Source organism: Homo sapiens, chromosome 1 (assembly GCF_000001405.40).
Source record: "Homo sapiens chromosome 1, GRCh38.p14 Primary Assembly".
NCBI lineage: Eukaryota > Metazoa > Chordata > Mammalia > Primates > Hominidae > Homo > Homo sapiens.
In genome coordinates, this window is record NC_000001.11 from 9790164 (window position 1) to 9803946 (window position 13783).

A 13783-nucleotide genomic window follows, 5' to 3' on the forward strand; every position below is an offset into this window, starting at 1 on the left:
TCCGCTATGAAAGAAAAATGAAAGCACTGATAACCTTGAACAGTAATGCTTAGGGGTTTCCACAATGTCGCCAATTCTTTTTTCACCTTTAAGTATGTTTATTAAGTAGGTTTTCGTAGATGTTATTTATCAAATTGAGAGAGAGCCCCTCTATTCCTAACTTTGAGAGTTTTCATCATGAATGAATGAATAGCATCTTCTGAAATGCTATTTCGGCATTAATTGGTATGCTGTGACTTTTCTTTTTTAGCGTATTGATTGGTGAATTATTGACTGTCAAATGTTGAAACAGTCTTATGTATGTGGACTAGATCCTATACGGTCATGGTGTATCATTCTTCTTGCACATTGTTTGATTTGATTTTTGTTGAGGACTTTTTAAATGTTTTGTTGAGATCGCCATTAAAATATTTTGTCAGTATATTTCAATTCACTTTTCTTTTGAAAATTCTGAAAATTCTACTGGCATGAATATATCCAGTTTTGTATACTCAGCATCAAATATTACGCATATTTCGGAGCACAGGTCAGGCGCCGTGGACTCCCTTTTGCTGACCACTGAGGCTAATCTAGCGGATTCAGCTATATGAAAGGCAAGAGACAGCGACAATCACAAGGCTATTTTTGAAAAATCAGGGTGTGACGATCGCAAATGTGCTTTTAAAAATTAGGATTAAAAAAAAAACAGGGCCGGGCGCGGCGGCTCACGCCTGTAATCCCAGCACTTTGGGAGGCCAAGGTGAGTGGATCATGAGGTCAGGAGATCGAGATCATCCTGGCTAACAAGGTGAAACCCCGTCTCTACTAAAAATACAAAAATTAGCCAGGCGTGGTGGTGGGCGCCTGTAGTCCCAGCTACTCGGGAGGCCGAGGCAGGAGAATGGCGTGAACCCGGGAGGCGGGAGGAGGCAGAACTTGCAGTGAGCCGAGATCGCACCACTGCACTCCAGCCTGGGCAACAGAGTGAGACTCTATCTCAAAAAAAAAAAAAAAAAAAAAGATGGAATTGTTTCTCCTGTTAAACCTGGCTTAAATATAGCAACCCTAAAGCTGAAAGACAAAGAATTTGAAGGTTTGTAGTTAAAGTGGCAGGACTTCCTAAAGCAAAGTTCACAACTTTTTCAGATCACAGGCTTTTTGCTCTGTTGCCCAGGCTGCAGCCTCCAACTCCTGGACTCCAGAAATCCTTCTGCCTCAGCCTCCCGAGTAGCTGGGGAGCCACCATGTCCAGCTAGTTTTAAAATTTTTTTGTAGAGAAGGCGGTCTCACTGTATTGCCCAGGCTGGTCTCGAACTTCTGGGCTCAAGCAATCCCCCTGCCTTGGCCTCCCAAAGAGCTGGGATTACAGGAGTGAGCCACCATGCCCGGCCCAAATCCTTTTTTTTTGAGATGGAGTCTCGCTCTGCCACCCAGGCTGAAGCGCAGTGGCACAGCCTCAGCTCACTGCAACCTCCGCCTTCTGGGTTCAAACAATTCTCCTGCCTCAGCCTCCTGAGAAGTTGGGATTACAGGTGCCCACCACCATGCCCACTAATTTTTGTATTTTTAGTAGAGATGGAGTTTCAGCATGTTGGCCAAGCTGCTGGTCTTGAACTCCTGACCTTAAGTGATCCGCCTGCCTCGGCCTCCCAAAGTGCTGGGATTACAGGTGTGAGCCACCACATGCGGCCCCAAATCCTTTTTAGTTTAATGTTAAGATTTCTGGCCGGGCCCAGTGGCTCATGCTTGTAATCCCAACACTTTGGGAGGCTGAGGCGGGTCGATCACCTGAGGTCAGGAGTTCCAGACCAGTCTGGCCAACATGGGGAAATCATGTCTCTACTAAAAATACAAAAATTAGCTGGGCATGGTGGCGGGTGCCTGTAATCCCAGCTACTCGGGAGGCTGGGGCAGGAGAATCATTTGCTACTCAGGAGGCTGGGGCAGGAGAATCATTTGAACCTGCGAGGTGGAGGTTGCAGTGAGCTGAGATCGGTCGTGCCACTGCACTCCAGCTTAGGCGACAGCGAGACTCCACTTCAAGGGGAAAAACAACAACAACAACAACAACAAAAAAAACAGGCCAGGCACCAACCCAAAACATAAGCAGCAAGTGTAACAGCAATGCCGGTATTCCACACTGACTTCCATCCTGAGCTTCCTAAACAACTCTCATATGCCATGGCTGGCAGTCTCTCTTGAATGTCACAGGTGTGATGTGGCAGCCTCTCCAGCAGAGAGCCTCATGTCCACCTACAGCAGTGAGATTTCCAGCAGCAAAGGCTTTAGCACAATCCTTCCAGAAGTTCCAAAGCTGACAGGTGAGATGCGCAGGAAGGGCCACTCTTAAAACACTTAGGAAATAAGGGGTCTCCCTCATGATTGGGCTGTAACCTTGGGAGAGTCATCTTACAGCCATCCTGTAGGGTATTAATTACCAGGGACACAGACTCCAGCCACGGGTGTCGGGTGTCGGGAACCATGCCCTTGGCTACGGTATCCCTGGAAACACAGCATGCCCTTGGCCTGAATCCCAGAATACCCCAGAGAGGATGCGTGAAGATGGGTCCCTGAAACAAGAGCACGTTTGCAGGTAAAAATCCCCAAGGAGCTTTGGGGTCTTGGACCAAGGTGGATGGGTGCAGGGGTGGGGTCAAGTTTCTGCTAGTGTTTCTCAAGCTCCGTACCCTCAGGAGCAGCTGTTCATGTGTGAATGTTGAGTAGTCCTATTCCAGAGCTAAGTTTTGTGAAACGGAGTGAGAAGGGGGCAGGGGAAGAGACAGAGGTGGACAGCCTCTCTCTCATTCCAACATTTATCTCTAGAGTAAGCAAAGGTGGGAAACTGGAGAAATCTCGATTAAAACGCAGATCCCTTTTTTTTTCTTTTGAGACAGAGTCTCAATCTGTCCGCCCAGGCTGGAGTGCAGTGGTGTGATCTCAGCTCACTGCAACCTCCACCTTCCAGATTCAAGCGATTCTCCTGCCTCAGCCTCCCTAGCAGCTGGGACTATAAGCACGCGCCACCACACCCAGCTAATTTTTGTATTTTTAGTAGAGACGGGGTTTCACCATGTTTGCCAGGCTGGTCTCGAACTCCTGACGTCAGGTGATCCACCAGTCTCAGCCTCCCAAAGTGTTGGGATTACAGGCGTGAGCCACTGCGCCCAGCCTAAAATACGGATCCTAACAGACAAGGGGAGATCAAACCTCAGATAGTAAAGAGCACGCCCCCATCCATCCACGGCAGCTGTGGGCCGTAATGGGGCGCCAGGCAAGATTTTCTAGACAACCCTGTTAAACTGCACCCGCTGGGCCCCCGCTTCGAATCTGAGACAATCAATCTGACCTGGCGCTGACAGGTTTGCTGTGGAACAATTTGATGCACTCCCCAACAGAGAACAATGGCCTCACAGAAGGTTCATGAATGGAGGCCATTCGAAAGCTTTCTTGTAAGCAAAGAAGGGAGGTTATCAGCCTTCCTGGGCAATTTCCACTTTGACTCCAAGACGCTTTTTGCCCTCTGTATGTCCCGCCTCGGGTGGGGTCTTCAGCTTTGCTCTTCTAAGAGATTAACTTGCAAGCAGCACCAGTTACAGCCACTGCTGCTATCTTGTGTTTTAGCATGAGCCTCCCTGAAGCAAAATCATCTCAAAATCTCTGAAATGTAACGTACAGAATTTCCCACAGGCAAAACAGTGCAAAGTTGGGAATATCTTCAGTGGTACCCACTGCCTTTCTGTCCATGCTGCTACCAGCTTCCTAGAGCTTCCCCTGGTGGGCCAGGGTTTCCAACAGACACCTTCCCCCATAAGTGCTCACTTCATTCGCATTGGGTTAGAACTCTCCCGCTCCAACTTCCCGTTTCTTCACAGCCCCACTAACACTGGCCATTTAGTTCAATAAACTAATTGGAGGGGGATGCTAATGACCGGTAATGACTTAAGGCACTCACACTTTGTAAAGAACCTCAGCAATTTAATATAAAAACAGGGTAAGTAACGCAGGCACTTTGCAGGCTGGTGGAGGAACACGTTTTCAGAACAGAGCCCTGAGCTTTCTTCAGTTTATACCTTGTCCAGAGAATTAAATACACAGCACCAGGGGAACAAATCCAATGCCAAACCACTATCAGAACATTTCCAACTGTTGACCGTATATTTTCATTCACCAATTAAATGTTGTTTGAGATTGAGTCTCCCTCTGTCGTCCAGGCTGGAGTGCAGTCACGCAATCTCAGCTCACTGCAACCTCCTCCTCCCAGGCTCAAGCAGTTCTCCTGCCTCAACCTCCCAAGTAGCTGAGATCACAGGCGTGCTTCACCATGCCTGGCTAATTTTTGTATTTTTAGTAGAGACAGGGTTTCGTCATGTTGGCCATGCTGGTCTCGAACTCCTGGCCTCAAATGATCTACCTGCCTCAGCCTCCGAAAGTGCTGAGATTACAGGCATGAACCACCACGTCTGGCCTTCAATTAACTCTTACGATCCAAGCCAGGCAGGAATCTAGCTACACAACCAGGGACGTGCCATGATTTCCTTCAATTTCCTATTTTGCAATGTTATCAGAAAATATGGGCTAGGTCTGGCCTTTTCTTTCTTCTTTATCATGATCACATTTGTCTTGAATTAAAAATAGGACAGGGCACCATCCTTAATCAAAACATAACAGACCAGGGGTAATTTCCAAGTTCTGTATGTGTTTTTTGTCTCCTGACCTTCACATACAATGGAAAACTTTATCATATATAGTTCAAAACAGTCCACACAGTATTCAAGGCCTGATGGCATTCATTATCAATGCCAAGTTCTTAACAGCTGTTACCCAAAATACTGTCACCAACTGACTAGGATTGTCTAATAAATCCATGAAGGCTAATCAGAAAAAAAAAAAAGAAAAAAAATCAAGATTCTGTCTTTGCACCCCTATTTTTTTTGCTTTTATTATTTACATTCCTAAAATACCAACAATAGCAAGAGTAATGCTTTTACATAGAATTCTTACATCATTTATAAAACAAATATTAACTTTTTTTTTTTTTTTGAGGTGGAGTTTCGTTCTTGTCGCCCAGGCTGGAGTACAGTGGCCCGATCTCGGCTCACTGCAACCTCTGCCTCCTGGGTTCAATCGATTCTCCTGCCTCAGCCTCCTGAGTAGCTGGGATTACAGGCATGCGCCACCACGCCCGGCTAATTTTTGTATTTTTAGTAGAGACGGGGTTTCTCCATGTTGGTCAGGATGGTCTGAAACTCCCAACCTCAGGTGATCTGCCCGCCTCAGCCTCCCAAAGTGCTGGGATTATAGGCATAAGCCACCGTGCCCGGCCAAATACTAACATTTTTAGAGCAACAGAAAACAAAACCGCTCAATCTTATTCTGCCACTGAGTCACTGAAGAAGCATGTTTATTTTTATTAAAAAGGGCAGAACCAATAGAAGCATAAGAGAACTACAGTACAAGATTGGGGAAGACATGAAGGAAAAAGAAAAAAATGTACTTTCCTTAAGTTATTTTAAGGAAATAAAGGACACTGGCTGGGTGCGGTGGCTCATGCCTGCAATCCCAGCACTTTGGGGAGGCCAATGCAGGAGGATCACTTGAGGCCAGGAGTTAGAGACCAGCCTGGGCAACATGGTGAGACCCTGTATCTACAGAAAAATTTAAAATTAGCCAAGCATGGTGGTGCATGCCTATAGTCCTGGCTACTTGGGAGGCTGAGGCAGGAGAACTGCTTGAGCCCAGGAGGCTGAGGCTGCAGTGAGCGATGATCACACTACTGCACTCCAGCGTGAGCAACAGAACAAGACCCTGTCCCCACCTCCAAAAAAAAAAAAAAAATCTGAGGCTGGGCATGGTGGCTGACACCTCTAACAGCACTTTGGGAGGCCAAGGTGGCCGGATCACTTGAAGTCAGGAGTTTGAGACCAGCCTGGCCAACATGGTGAAACCCTGTCTCTACTAAACACAGAAAAATTAGCTGGGCGTGGTGGTGGGCGCCTGTAATCCCAGCTACTCGGGGGGCTGAAGCAGGAGAACTGCTTGAACCTAGGAGGCAGAGGTTGCAGTGAGCGGAGATCATGCCACCGCACTCCAGCCTGGGCGACAGGGCAAGACTGTCTCCAAAAACAAAAAAAAAAACAAAAAACAAAACAAAACAAAAAAAAAAAAACAGGCATTTGACCTGGCATCTCCTAACTTCCTGGTGACTGAGGACAAGATGGTGAAATGGAAACTGGATGAAAATAAAGATGGGTGGGCCAGGCGCGGTGGCTCACGCCTGTAATCCCAGCACTTTGGGAGGCCGAAGCGGGTGGATCACGAGGTCAGGAAATCGAGACCATCCTGGCTAACACATGAAACCCCGTCTCTACTAAACATACAAAAAAAAAAAAAAATTAGCCGGACGTGGTGGCAGGCGCCTGTAGTCCCAGCAACTCAGGAGGCTGAGGCAGGAGAATGGCGTGAACCTGAGAGGCGGAGCTTGCAGTGAGCCAAGATCACGCCACTGCACTCCAGCCTGGGCGACAGAGCGAGACTCCGCCTCAAAAAAAAGAAAGAAAAGAAAGATGGGTGAATTATTTACAACAGGTTTAATGACCACCTAAAAGGTCACTGAATAATAAACCCATGGAAACCTGCAACGGCCTCTGGTAACCTTTCAAAGGCATCATACTTGGTTGGCTCTGTTCAACCATTACATCAAATTTGAAAATAACACGAAGCCAGAATGAACAGATGGAATGTGGAGTCAGGATTCAAAACTGCTTGACGGAGCAGAGTGGAGAGTCAGATACGGCAAGATGAAATGCAACAGAGATAAATGCAGAGACTCACACTAGAACAAAACATCAAGCTTGAAGATGAGAAGCATGGTTAAACACTGGTGCGTGGTAGGGGTACTTGGGGGTTGGAGTTAAATAAAATGCAGTGTGACAAGGCTGCTGAGACACTTAGACAAGGGAATGCTAGCCCCATGCTACTCCAAGGCTGTCCTTGAGTCAGGAATTCTGTTAAAACCTTGGCCCCATCTGAAAGGCATCCAAAGAGAAAGAAATCAAGCTGGACTCAGGAGGCTCAGGCAAGAGGACCCTTGAGCCCACCCAAGAGTCTGAGTCCTGACTGGGCAATGCAGTGAGACCCTGTCCAAAAGAAAGAAAAGGTGGGGAGAGGAAGGGGAAGTGGGGGAGGGAGAGGGTAGAAAGAAAATCAATCAGGCTGGCCATGGTGGCTCATGCCTGTAATTCTATCCCTTTGGAGGCTAAGGTGGGGACAATCACTTAAGCCAGTAGTTCAAGACCAACCTGGTCAACATTAATGAGACCTCAATCTCTACAAAATAAATTTTTTTAAAATTAGCCTGGCGTGGTGGTGCATGTCTGTAGTCTCATCTACTTGGGAGGCTCAGGCGGGAGGATCATGTGAGCCCAGGAGTTGGAGGTTGCAGTGAGCTATGATTATGCTACTGCACCCCAGTCTGGGTGACAAAGCAAGACCCTGTCTCAAAAGAAGAGAAGAGAAGGCTGGCTGGTGGAGATTTTGGAAACAAAGTGACATGAAAAACAGCTGAAGGAACAGAGGAGGCTTGGCTAGGAAATGAAAGAAGCTGATACGGAGAGAGAGAGGGGAGGACAAGGTAAATTCCCTTTCCTGGCAGGAATGTTAAAATATTGCAGCTACTGATTGGCGGTTCCTCAATCGATTAAAAATAGAAATACTGTATGAGGCGGGCAGATCACTTGCGACCAGGAGTTCGAGGCCAGCCTGGCCAACATGGTGAAACCTCATCTTTACTAAAAATCCAAAAATTAGCCAGGCGTGGGGGTACATGCCTGTAATCCCAGCTACTCGGGAGGCTGAGGCAGGAGAATTGCTTTAACCTGGGAGGTGGAGGTTGCAGTGAGCCGAGATGGTGCCACTGCACTCCAGCCTGGGCAACAGAGGGAGCGAGACTCTGTCAACAAAGAAAGAGAGAGGGAGAGAGGGAGAGAGGGGAAGAGGGGAAGAGGGGAAGAGGGAGGGGGAGGGGAAGAGGGAGGGGGAGGGGAGGGAAAAAGAAAGAAAAGAAAAACTATATGACCCAGATATTCCACTCCCAGGTATACATCCAAAAGAACTGAAAACAGGTACTCAAATACTTATGAATGAATCATCACAGCAGCACTATTCACAACAGCCAACAGCCAAAACCATCCTAAAACCTGCATCAACAGATGAACGGACAGACGAAATGCAGTCTATCCAAACAAGGAACCATAAAAGGAATGAAGTACTGATATCCACAACATGTACGAGCCTCAAAAAATTATGAAACTCAGAACATTCAGCTAAGTGAAAGAAACCAGACATAAAAGGTCACGTATCACATGATTCCCCCACTTATATGAAATAGCCAAAATAAGTAAATCCATAGAGACAGAAAGCCGATTAGTGGTTGCCAAGTGCTGGGGGCAGAAGGGAGTAGCAAATGCCTGTTTAATGGGCATGAGGTTTTCTTTTGGGATGACGAAAACATTTTGGAACTAGATAGAGGTGGTAGTTGCACAATGCTGAATGTACTAAATGCCACTGGATTGTACATTTTAAAATGTGATGCTGGGGCTTCCAGTTTCCAGTACAGCATGTTAGGAGATTAGAAGTTGCTAATCTGTCCTAATAACAAGTAAAAAAGCCAAAGAAACTGAAAAATCAAGAACTATTCTTAGATCCCTAAGAGAAGTGAGATCACAAGGCAATTGCTGCCCCCCAAAATTGGAGACAGGCTGCGTGTGATGGCTCGCACCTGTAATCCCAGCACACTTTGGGAGGGCGGGGCAGGAGGATCACTTGAGCCCAGGAGTTTGAGCCCATTCTGGCAACAAAGTGAGACCTCATCTCTTACTAAATCAAAATAAATTAGCCAGACATAGTGGTGCACGCCCATGGTCCCAGCTACTCAGGGAGCAGAGATGGGAGGACCACTTGAGCCCAGGAGGTCGAGGATCCAGTGAGCCCTGATCGTGCCACTGAACTCCAGCCTGGGTGACAGAGCAAGACCCTGTCTCAAAAAAGAAAAAAATACATAAATTTTAAAAATTGGAGACACAGGCAAATACACAAGGAATCACAATTTACAGAGCAGAAACCTCCATGGGAACCGGTGCCAGGGTAGGAAAACCTAAGCTGTAATCGACAAACTGCTGGAGTTCAATGTGCAGAACTCTGAGAGTTAAAAATTCCAGGGAGCCGGGCGCGGTGGCTCACGCCTATAATCTCAGCACTTTGGGAGGCAGAGGCGGGTGGATCACGAAGTCAGGAGATCGAGACCATCCTGGCTAACACGGTGAAACCCCGTCTCTACTAAAAATACAAAAAATTAGCTGGGCATGGTGGCGGGCGCCTGTAGTCCCAGCTACTTGGGAGGCTGAGGCAGGAGAATGGTGTGAACCCGGGAGGCAGACTATGCAGTGAGCCGATATCGCGCCACTGCACTCCAGCCTGGGCAACAGAGCAAGACTCCATCTCCCAAAAAAACAAAAAAAAAATGCCAGGCGCGGTGACTCACGCCTGTAATCCCATCACTTTGAGAGGCCGAGGCAGGCAGATCATGAGGTCAAGAGATCCAGACCATCCTGGCCAACATGGTGAAAACCCGTCTCTACTAAAAATACAAAAATTAGCTGGGCGTGCTGGTGGGTGCCTGTAGTCCTAGCTGCTTGGGAGGCTGAGACAGGAGAATCATTTGAACCCGGGAGGCGGAGGTTGCAGTGAGCCAAGATCGTGCCACTGCACTCTAGCCTGGGTGACAGAGCAAGACTCCGTCTCAAAATAAACAAACAAACAAAAAACCACACATAAATGTAACACGTGGATCAACAAAGAAATATCGAGGAGTTTTAAAATGTTTTGAACTAAATGAAAAAGAAAATATAATTTATCAAAATGTGTGGGATGTAGTGAAAGCAGTGCTTAGTGGAAAACTTAAGCATTTAATACATATATTAGAAAAAAAGAAAGAGCTAAAATCAATCATATAAGCTTCAACCTTAGGAAACTAGAAAAAGATCAGCAGATTAAATACAAAGAGAGCAGAAGAAAATGAAATAAAAACTGAAACAAAAATCAATAAAACTGAAAACAGGAACTCAATAGAGAAAACCAACAAAACCAAAAGCTGGTTTTTTGAAAAGATCAATAAAACTGATAAGCCTCTAGCCAGGCTAACTATGAAAAAAAAAGAGAGAAGACACAAATTCCTAGTATCAGAAATGAAAACAGGAACACCGCTATAAGACCCCATGGATTAAAAAGATACATAAAGGGGCTGGGCATGGTGGTTCACGCCTGTAATCCCAGAACTTTGGGAGGCCGAGACAGGAGGATCACGAGGTCAGGAGATCAAGACCATCCTGGCTAATACAGTGAAACCCCGTCTCCACTAGAAAAAAAAAAAAAAAAAAAAAAATTAGCTGGGTGTGGTGGCAGGCGCCTGTAGTCCCAGCTACTCAGGAGGCTGAGGCAGGAGAATGACGTGAACCCAGGAAGCGGACCTTGCAGTGAGCCATGATCGTGCCACTGCACTCCAGCCTGGGCGACAGAGTGAGATTCCATCTCAAAAAAAAAATAAAAATAAAATAAAATAAATAAATAAGAAAAAAAAATACAAAAAAAATTGGCCAGGAGTGTGGTGGCATGCTCCTGTAATCCCAGCTATTCAGGAGGCTGAGGTAGGAGAATAGCTGGAACCTGGGAGGCGGAGGCTGCAGTGAGCCGAGATTGCACCATTGCACTCCAGCCTAGACAACAGAGTGAGACTCAGTCTCAAAAATAAATAAATAAATAAATAAGAGGCTGGGTGCGGTGGCTCACACCTGTAATCCCAGCACTTTGGGAGGCCGAGGCAGATGGATCACCTGAGATCAGGAGTTCGAGACCACCCTGACCAACATGGAGAAACCCCAACTCTACTAAAAATACAAAATTAGCTGGGCATGGTGGCAAGCACCTGTAATCCCAGCTACTTGGGAGGCTGAGGCAGGAGAATCACTTGACCCAGGCGGCGGAGGTTGCAGTAAGCTGAGATCGTGCCATTGCACTCCAGCCTGGGAAACAAGAGCGAAACTCCATCTCAAAAGTAAATAAATAAGAAATATTATGAACAACTCTATGCCTAAAAATTTGATAACCTAGATGAAATTTATCAATTCCCTGGAAGATACAATCTGCCAAAACTCACCCAAGAAAAAGCAAACAATCTAAATAGACCTGTATCTCTTAGAGAAACTAAATCAACAATTAATAACCTTCCAAAACGAAAAGTACCAGACCCAGATGGGTTCACTGGTGAATTGTACCAAACATTTAAGGAAGAAATTACACCAATTCTCTACAGAAGCAAAGGGAATACTTCCTAACTCATTCTGTGAGGTCACCATTATTGTTCGTTTGTTTTTGTTGAGACAGAGTTTCGCTCTTGTTGCCCAGGCTGGAGCGCAGTGGCACGATCTCGGCTCACTGCAACCTCTGCCTTCTGGGTTCAAGTGATTCTCCTGCCTCAGCCTCCCGAGTAGCTGGGATTACAGGCATGCACCACCATGCCCGGCTAACTTTCTGTGTTTTTAGTAGAGATGCGGTTTCTCCATGTTGGTCAGGCTGATCTCGAACTCCGGAGCTCAGGTGATCCGCCCACCTCTGCTTCCCAAAGTGCTGGGATTACAGGCGTGAGCCACCACGCCCGGCCTCGGCCACCATTATTCTATCAAAACCAGACAAAGATGTTACAAGAAAACTACACACCAATATCTCTCATGAACACAGATGCAAAAACCCTCAACAAAGCAAGCAAAAAAACAGCAAACACATGTTTACTATAGTGTTCTAAGTACTTTACAAAATTGGTTCAATCCCCCCACCCACTCTGTGAGAGGGGTATTATTATCATCATCCCCATTTTACAGATGAAGAAACTGAGGCATGTAGAGATTAAGTAAGATGTCCAAGATTACAGAGCTAATGAGCCGCAGACTTGGGGTCTGAACCTCAACAGTTTAGTTCAGAGTTCATGCTCATAACTGCTCCACTATGCTCTTGCAGTGACAACATTTAGGCAGAACTGAGACCCAGGACTTTCTGACAAGGAATGCTTCCCTCCAAAATAGAAAGATGCTCTCTGATTAGAAGAATTCCAGCAGGGCCTGGCTAAATTATATCAGGCCACACTGTGAAGAGGATCCTACGTCAAAAGCTGCCCCAGCCAGACCATTTCTAAAGCTCTTGTCAACTCTGCAACTGTGATTTCAGCAGAGTGTGCAAATTTCTGAGATGTTCACATTAAAAAGTGCTACAAATTTTCAAATAATGTGACTTTGTTAACAGGATGTACTATCCATCCAGATTTTTTAAACTCCACTCTAATTTTATAATCTACTTTCCTGACTCAACTGTACATGAGAGAGGTACAGACTCACCCAAATGTATGCTTTCTGAATATTTTCTATTATAGGGAAACAGGGTTAAAGACACCCCAGACCAGATCCCACTGTTCATTCTACTTTCCCTATTCTGAACTACGAAAATATCACACTGACGACAATGGCAACTTCACTTGTTTCCTCTTTGGTAAAATGGGCTGCCTGGGCTAAATGATTTCTCAAGCTCCTTCCATTTCTAGAATTCTAGCCATATAATTAAGGAGCTGATTTTCTTAGATTTTTTTTTTTTTTTTTTTGAGACAGAGTCTCACTTTGTCGCCCAGGCTGGAGTGCAGTGACACAATCAGGGCTCACTGCAGCCTCAAGCTCCAGGGCTCAAATGATCCTCCCACCTAAGCATCTCAAGTAACTGGGGCCACAGGCACCTGCCACCACACTTAGGTAATTTTTTATTTTTTGTAGAGACAAGGTTTCGCTATGTTGTCCAGGCTGGTCTCAAACTCCTGGCTCAAGTGATCCTCCTGCCTCAGCCTCCCAAAGTGCTGGGATTACAGGCATAAGCCACCACGCCCAGCTAAAAGTACTTAACATTCTAATGCAAAAATAATATACAAGCAAACAGAGCTTACTTAAGTGGGAAGGCACGCTGCCAGATTCTAAAAGCAAAGGATTCTATCATAAAAGGGAGGAAAGGATTAGATAACCTCTCAAGGGGAAACTGGATTTATGGGATATAGTCTAGGCAAAAACCAGATCATTGGTAATCAAGGATAATACCAAAACAAACCAACAAACCACCCAAAACAGCAGCTCTCAACCTCTCCCATCAAGGCAGACAGCCCAGGTACAGGCCCACGCACAGATATTCCATGGGTAAAACCAGATTCTGAGAAAAGCTGAAAAGATTTTTCATAAAAATAAAGCAAACAGTAGCACAAAGGTCTTTTATCGTGGTAGTTATAAAAATGTTTTACGGCCGGGCGCAGTGGCTCACGCCTGCAATCCCAGCACTTTGGGAGGCCAATGTGGGCAGATAACTTGAAGTCAGGAGTTCGAGACCAGTCTGGCCAACATGGTGAAATCCCGTCTCTACTAAAAATACAAAAATTAGCTGGGTGTGGTGGTATATGCCTGTAATCCCAGCTACTTGGGAGGCCGAGGCACAAGAATTGCTTGAACCCAGGAGGTGAAGGCTGCAGTGAGCAAGATCACACCACTGCACTCCAGCCTGGGCAACAGAGCAAGACTCCATCTTAAAAAAAATTAAATAAAATTAAATTTTTTTTAAAAAGTGTTTTACAATGACATCAGCCATTTAAAGGTCTCAAAAAGGCCATCTTGTGAGGAAAAACGAAAGTGGTAATCTTTTTCAACTACTGAACTTTTGTTAAAGCCTTGAT

At 45.9% G+C, this 13783-nt stretch overlaps 1 protein-coding gene across 4 annotated transcripts in view, besides 1 other annotated feature; it reads right to left on the reverse strand.

Annotated features, from left to right (window-relative positions):
• CLSTN1 (calsyntenin 1) overlaps nt 1–13783 on the reverse strand; it is a 95601-nt gene that overhangs the window by 61238 nt on the left and 20580 nt on the right. The window lies entirely within an intron of this gene.
• Nucleotides 2268–2562: a silencer, noted in NCBI's record as "tiled region #8161; HepG2 Repressive non-DNase unmatched - State 10:DNaseD, and K562 Repressive non-DNase unmatched - State 20:ReprD". NCBI's record gives its function as "represses a minimal TATA promoter and a strong SV40 promoter by Sharpr-MPRA in HepG2 and K562 cells {active_cell/tissue: HepG2 | K562}" and the evidence as "EXISTENCE:reporter gene assay evidence [ECO:0000049][PMID:27701403]".